We start from the raw sequence: 7,666 nt of genomic DNA on the forward strand, positions 1-7,666 counted from the left end.
GAAGTTCTTTCTAATCTAGGAACTTCTTATAACTCCTGATGGGCTTTGCAGATTGTAACTTAGACTCCTGTTTCCTCTCCCATAAATAAGGGAGTTTTGTAAAGTTTCCATCTACTTCTGGTAGATTAAAGTCAATACAACTTAGATAGATAGATGATAGATAGATAGATAGATAGGTAGGTAGATAAAGAAATTGTAATACAAAATATTTTCTATTAACAAATTCTATTTCATCTTTAGCAAAATCTTTTTGGTTTTCTTTCTTCATGTTCTATGGCAAAATACTCACATTTGTTTAACTTGGTACTTGATATTTTTCTGTAGTTGAAGTCAATTGCTTAATAAGTTCGCCTTTAATCTTTCTAAAGCTAATTTAGGTTTTTAAAAAATGTATCGTATCTGACAACATTTACCTTTTACTTTAATGCACATGCAGTCAGTCTGCTAGACATCAGTGCCTTATTTCTGGCCATTTTTCTGGCCTTATCACCTATGAATATCCTTCTGTCTATGCCTTATCATGCAATTATACAGTCGCTAGTGGTTTCTTTCTCTTCTCAGAGTAGTACTGACTCTACCATATCAGTGTGACAGGTTACACATTTCTAACAGAAATGTGCAATGGTGACTATGGTGTTGACCAATAGTATGAGAAAGTTATCCATTTAAGATTGTTTCAACAAATCAAATGCTTTTCAAACTATAATGTTTATTTCAACAATAAAGAATGTTAAATCACCAAAACACATATAATTGTATCAATATACAATTGTAAGAGTAAAGATTTTTTTAAAAGCAATGATAGCATATGATTTGAGCATCTCCTTTTCTCTCACTGGGAATAAGCTAGCCTGACACAGTTACTTGAATAATTCATGAGAGAAGAATAAAAGATTTATCAATAAAAAACAGGGTCAAGTTCTATTGAGGAGCTTTGGAATATAAGTATATGCTAGAGCAGCTTCAGAAGAGAGTTATATATTTGAATGCTCAATTTAAATTTCCATCCACTGCAGGTCTTTATTAATAACTTAATATAAGCAATTCCCACCCCACCACAAAGTCTGTGATTTCAGAATCACTGATTTTTAAATGTTGCTCTTGGGAAAAATCTTCTCATGACTATAAAATAATTTTTAACTATGTCAGTTTTTAAGAATCACTCCAGTATTCTTAACAAAATAGGAGAAGTGTTTCCTCCCTACAGAGGTACTTGCATAGCTTTACGTAGCATGACGTTTCAGGAGAGACTACCAAATAGATTTCTTGTCATCTACATATGATGTGATGCTTTGCTCATATATGAATGAATATATTTATGCTACATATACTCATACCTGGTGAAGCTATAGGTGAACAAGACCACATGTGTGATTACACTGCAGGTATACATTTACCAGGAGAAGAACTGTCAATGAATGCTCCTGCATACAGCAATCCTAACTACCATGACAGGTTGCTGCCAAGCAAACAGGGGCATTCCAGAGATAGCACAACTGCCAAAATGCAAGACAAATGTTTTTAGAATTAGTAATAAATCACATTAGCTGTCTCAAATTTCTCCTTAGTGTATTGATTAAAATTAAGTAATTAGTTAGAATTATAATATCGACACATATAAATGTTAAGCTTATAGATAAAAGGAAATTGGCACTATGGATTCTCAGGGTGATGTTTAACAGTGATAGGGATGAACTGAATTTAGAAAACTCACCTGCTAAGCATCTTGAGAAATTACCACAAGTATTTTACACAAGCATTTTGACCATCACAATTTCCTTTGTAAAGGCTTTTGTTCTTGTTGTTTCTTTCAAATCCTTTCCTCCCAGGAAATCTTCTGGCACAAGGCATGGTATAATGTTAAGTTGTTGGCCACTTTTAATCACATTGTCCTAAGAGTGCCATAGTGTCAGAGTACAGATTATTTAAAACTTATCATTAACTCTTATTAATAATAGTGAACACACATATAAGAATTCACAAGACATATGTGTGATAATACACAACAGAAGGATTGTATTGGTCCTTAAAATCATATAATGATTTTTATCACCATAATTGTCTGCATACATTTGACAGTTTATTGTTCATAAGTGGAAATGATGAAAGGCAGACTTTTGAGACTGGGAAGGCTAATGTCCCTAAAACAAGTTGTTCGTCATCCTATCCGTGGTTTCAATATCCTAACAATGCTGCAGAACTCTTTACAAGTTTTGTGCAGTTTAACAAATGTGAATTCATAGTATAGAGAACAAAATATAATCCTTAATATTCACTCAATCTTGTATTTCAATGAATAATTTAAAAATATAATATCACTATACATGACTAACCTTCAAAACCAGATCGTTTTTAATCCTTGGGAATTTTTGCTCATTAACTTAGAATTGACTAGGAATAGCATATATACAAAAGAAATATTAAATTAAAAACAATTGGCCGGGCGCGGTGGCTCACGCTTGTAATCCCAGCACTTTGGGAGGCTGAGGCGGGCGGATCACGAGGTCAGGAGATCGAGACCACGGTGAAACCCCGTCTCTACTAAAAATACAAAAAAAAATTAGCCGGGCTTGGGGGCGGGCGCCTGTAGTCCAAGCTACTCCGAGAGGCCGAGGCAGGAGAATGGCGTGAACCCGGGAGTAGGAGGTTGCAGTGAGCGGAGATCGCGCCTCTGCACCCCAGCCTGGGCGACAGAGCGAGACTCTGTCTCAAAAAAAAAATTAAAATAAAAAAAATTTTAAAAAAAGAAACAATTTCACCATCTCCCTTGCTGAGAACATTTGTATAAGGAAGAGTGGATTGAGACAGAATGAGCCAGGTCTTCACTGTAAATAGTATTTTGTGAATTATAACTACAAATGTTGAAAGTTGTGTTCTTATGATTTTAATATATTGCAGGTATACTGTCAGAAATGGCAAAATAGCAATTTTTCAAATTCCCTACCATGTAGTGAGAGATGATTTCTTAATTTAGTAGGATCTGATAACAGCTATGAAAAATTCATAATTTCAGATGAGCAATGAACTTTTTTTATTATACCTAGGTGTGTATATCAGCTTTGAATTAAACTATGCATTTCATGAGCAGTCATACATTACTGTTATTTCCATCCATTTCCTTGAAATAATATCTGATGATAATAATAGTTAATATTTATTTTATAAATATTATGTTCTAAGGACTCTATATGGGCTGTATTTGCATATATCCCTTTTATTCCTTAGAATAACCCTGTTTATAACATAGATTTTATCCCTGATACACTTGGAGATGTTGTGTCTTGCCCAAAATAACAGAGAGTGGCAGTGGCTGACCCAGTATGTGAATGCAGGACAAAACATGTTTTGAAGACAGAGGTTTCGGTCATAAGCATAAAAACAAGAATTATAATAGATTAAGGCTTACAGAATGATATAGCCTATTATGCCATTAATCCCCAGATGTAATCAAGAACAAAGCTATAGTCTTTGAATGATGAAAGCTAAGATTCACAGGTGGTTTGGGGTGAAAATAGTCTTTATTAAATACATCAGCAATTGACCTAAGGGCTTCCTTATAATTAAACACCTGCTCACCCTACTACTTTTATGTACATGAATCCTTGAGGAGAAAAGTGGTAACATCTCTAGACTTCCTTGAAATACATTACTTTGAAAAAATAAATTCTCGGAAATGTTTAAGTAAACATAAATTTGTAACGGGACTCATTCAGTTCAACCTGCATATATTCAATGTCTTTAATGCATAATGCACAGCACTGGTTTATTGCAATAAAAAGTTGTATAAATGAAATCCTTCCCTCACGTTACCCTCAATGCAGTGGGATAGACAAACAAGGATTTATGACTATTTGATAAATGTTAAGATAGGGGTATAGCCATGGTACCATTGAAGCAGAAAATACGGCTCAAATATGAATCTGCCTGTTTCAGTCCGGTTTGATCCGAGAAGCATAACCACTAGAAGATAAGGTAAAATCACACGACAAGGTGTTCTGGAGGAAAGATGGGCACAAAGTGTGGGAAATGAGGAAACATTAGAACATGCAAGGGTGAGCCAAAATCCACTAGGATGGACATTGGTGCCAGTGTCTCTTCACCCATAAACTCCCCACCTCTAAACTGATGATAGTGGTGGTCTGTATGAAAGGTCGTGCCTTTCAATTCTGAGCTAAATATGCACCTAGTCATGGAGTCAGTGAGGTGGAAGACAGAGGTCCAGCCAGAGAAGGAAGAACTGCAGTCCTGGCTGCTGCCCTGCACCAACACAATAAGCCTGCAAAAAAGTGACCACAATGTGTCTATGGTCTCTGCACCAATGATCTTCTGTGTAAAACAGGGATACCCACCTGTTCTGCCATCTATTTCTCCTACCAAAAAAAAAATGTTTGTGGCTCACTATAATTAGAAATATAAAAGAGGGGAATTATGGGAAATGTAGTTCCGGCTTAGCTAAATTGACAATGGAAATCCACCTCACTGCCTGAATATTTAAGGGAGGTTAGATAGAAGAGATGGGTAATCTGAATGAATAACACATTCGCAAGTTGATAAGAATACAATTATATTTGAACAATGCTTGTTATTATAGAAGAAATGTGTCAGGTACCCATACAGAGATACAAAATACTCCCAATTTTTCTGAATGCTAACAATTTTCACTTTTATTTTATACTTTATGGTTGCTTTAAAATGTGAACTATTGCAAAGTGTCCTATGCTAGTAATGTTTACTTTCTAAATATCAAATGAGGATTTTACATATAAATTTTAAATAGGTGAATGAATTATCATAGCTTAAGATGAGGGTGGTAAGATGTCACACACACAATAATGTGCATTCAATATTTTTGAATTGCAATGCGAATGCCATTAAAATGAATGCTATATTTATGATGCAATAGAAAATAAGCTCTTTAAAAACACATTAAAAAAAAACACGAACCACGTCAAAATGAGTTTTTATAATGAAAATGTAATAAAAGAATACTGTTTTTTGTTTATGTGTTCTTTTTACATAGGCAAATCAGAAAATTTTATGTTCACAAACCAATCTATGCCAGTTATAATAAATAAAAAATAAATAACTCTTGATAGAAGGAGGTTGAAAAACCAGCTCCCCGGCTTAGATGAGAAGGCATTACAGCAGAGTAGAAGCTTATGTCAAGAATTTGAACCAGCATCCCCGCATTCACATCCTGACTCTGCACTGTGTATCCTGATACAGTTTACTGAATGTCACTGAGTCTCAGTTTTTCATCTGTTAATAGGGGCAATGATACTGTTTAGGCCACATAGCTTGATTTTAAATAGAGACTAAATAAAATATTTTATATAAACGCAATCTGTTGAGTACTTATTAAGCACTAAGCACCATGGAACTCTTTTGAAAAGTGTAAGATTTTAAGCCCTGGAGCCATGGGGAAGGTGAGTTTGGCTTAAATCACTATGTTTTTATCAGCCCTCTCCCTTCCCTGGAGTCACATGAGTTCTACATGATGTCCCTACAATTTTATTTTTGTGATGTGCAAACTAGAAGTATCTAAAGAACATTATGCTAAGTTAAATAAGTAGGACACAGAAAGATAAATGTTGCATGATCTCACTTACATGTGGAATCTAAAAGAATTTAAATTCATAGAAACAGAGAGTAGGTCTTGAATATAACACACCTTGTTTCACCTTGTTCCTTCCCTCGATGTGATAATTACATTAATAGTTTTGACACCAGTTGCAATGGTCACACTGACTCCATGACTAGGTGCATATTTAGCTCAGAATTGAAAGGCACAACCTTTCATAGAGACCACCAGTCTGTGTAGCGAGGGCACCAGTCTGTGTAGCGAGGGCTACACAGATGGCGAGGGGGGGGCCCTACACTGTAAGGTGGAATATAATTGTGTTGGAGCAGGGCAGCAGCCAGGACTGCAGTTCTTCCTTCTCTGGCTGGACCTCTGTCTTCCACCTCACAGTCATCAAAGCTTTAACCAGATCTTCTATTTTGTTAATTTATTTTCTTCTACAAATGCCCTAGAAGTAACCATGTGAAGATATATATGTGTGTATATAACTGTTCTGTTTCTATGCTGATTCCTCATGAATTTTTGCCCTAGAGATTATCATCATTCATCACTTTTGTGCTAAACAATTCGTATGTGTTAACTACCAAATCTATATATTGTGATTTATATAGATAAATATATAGACAGGCAATATATAAATATACATATGATGTGTGTATATATCAATATCTATACTTCTCTATAGCTCTCTGTATAACACTATATGTATCTAAATCTATACCCCTTTCTCTTGAACCACAAATCTGCTTTTTCAAATAACTGTTCATTCTTAACGTTTCCATGTTCCAAACTCAATTATATATAACAGTCTATCCACCACATAAAATCTCATATGTTTTCTATTGCTATAATCCTAGATTTTACAAGCCTTGCTACCCTGAGGTACCCAATAAAATAATTGATTTTATCATTTATTTAATCTTATTTTTTTTTTTTTTGGTGTGAAAATACTCTGTTTAATAAAGACCAGGCGGAGGGAGGTGAGGTTGTGGGTTCTGTACAGGAAACTGAGTCCCAGCCCCAGGAAGGGAGAAGGAGGACGGACCAGCTGGCAGCCTGGGAGAGGTCACAGGTCAGTGGCCGGACCCCAGTCGTAGCCATCTTCATCGGGGACTCCGCATCGCGGACTCGTGTAAACTTTTTCTTCAGGGCTTCCGGTTCACAGGTTCGCATGCTGTCCTGTCGCCTCTGACCCTGGGGGTGGGGGCTGTCCACTTGGGGCCCCTGATGAGCCGAGATTCTCCCACGAACCCTCGGGCTCTGGGGCTCATCTGCTTGCACGGGCTCTGAGGACCTGTCCAGGGCTGGAGCCGGGAGCTCATCATCCGCATCCGTGTAGGGCCCCCCGCTAGCCGTCTGTGTAGCGCTCGCCATCAGTGTACGCGCCGCCCTCGCCTTCCGTCTCCTCCAGTAGTCGCTGTTAACACGGCTGTCGCAGCTGAGGTCAGCAGAGCTGTCGGCCAGGCCGCGGTGAGGGTTGTCCTCCAAGGAGCCATCCAGCTTATCTTCCGCCGTCCAGATGGGCCGCGTCTGCTGCTCTCGAATGATAGCCTTGAACTCCTGGTACCAGGTGTCACTCGTGCCATTCAGAGGGATGGTGGCTGTGAAGAGGTGGCTGCTCTGCTTCCGCAGCTTCTGGGCTTGTGCGTAGAGGCGGCGGGTACTGCGGCAGGAGGCAGGCGCCAGCCAACTTAGCTCCTTCTAAATTGTCCTCATACATCCAGTGATTTTCAGGTAGTATTTTTAGTGTTCAGGTTTATTGAGGTTTAATTGAAAAATTAAAATTGTATATATTCGGAGTATATAACACAATGTTCTGACACACATATACATTGTGAAATAATTAACATAAGCTAATTACCAGATCCACCACCTCACATCGTTACTCTATGCGTGTGTATTGTGGGAATCTACTCTCTTAACAAAAGTCAAATATACATTTTAGTTCACTATAGTTACCATGCTGTATATTAGGTCTTCATCACTTATTCGTTTTATAATTTTAAGTTTATACCCTTTGATCAACATCACTACATTTCCCCTACCCTCTCTACCCACCCTGATCCCTGGTAACCTTCCTTCTAC

The 7,666-nt window shown here is 37.4% G+C and overlaps 1 pseudogene; it reads right to left on the reverse strand.

Annotated features, from left to right (window-relative positions):
- Window positions 6,519-7,270, reverse strand: LOC126987 (tight junction protein 3 (zona occludens 3) pseudogene; annotated as a pseudogene).

This window comes from Homo sapiens, chromosome 1 (genome assembly GCF_000001405.40).
Source record: "Homo sapiens chromosome 1, GRCh38.p14 Primary Assembly".
NCBI classification, from domain to species: Eukaryota; Metazoa; Chordata; class Mammalia; order Primates; family Hominidae; genus Homo; species Homo sapiens.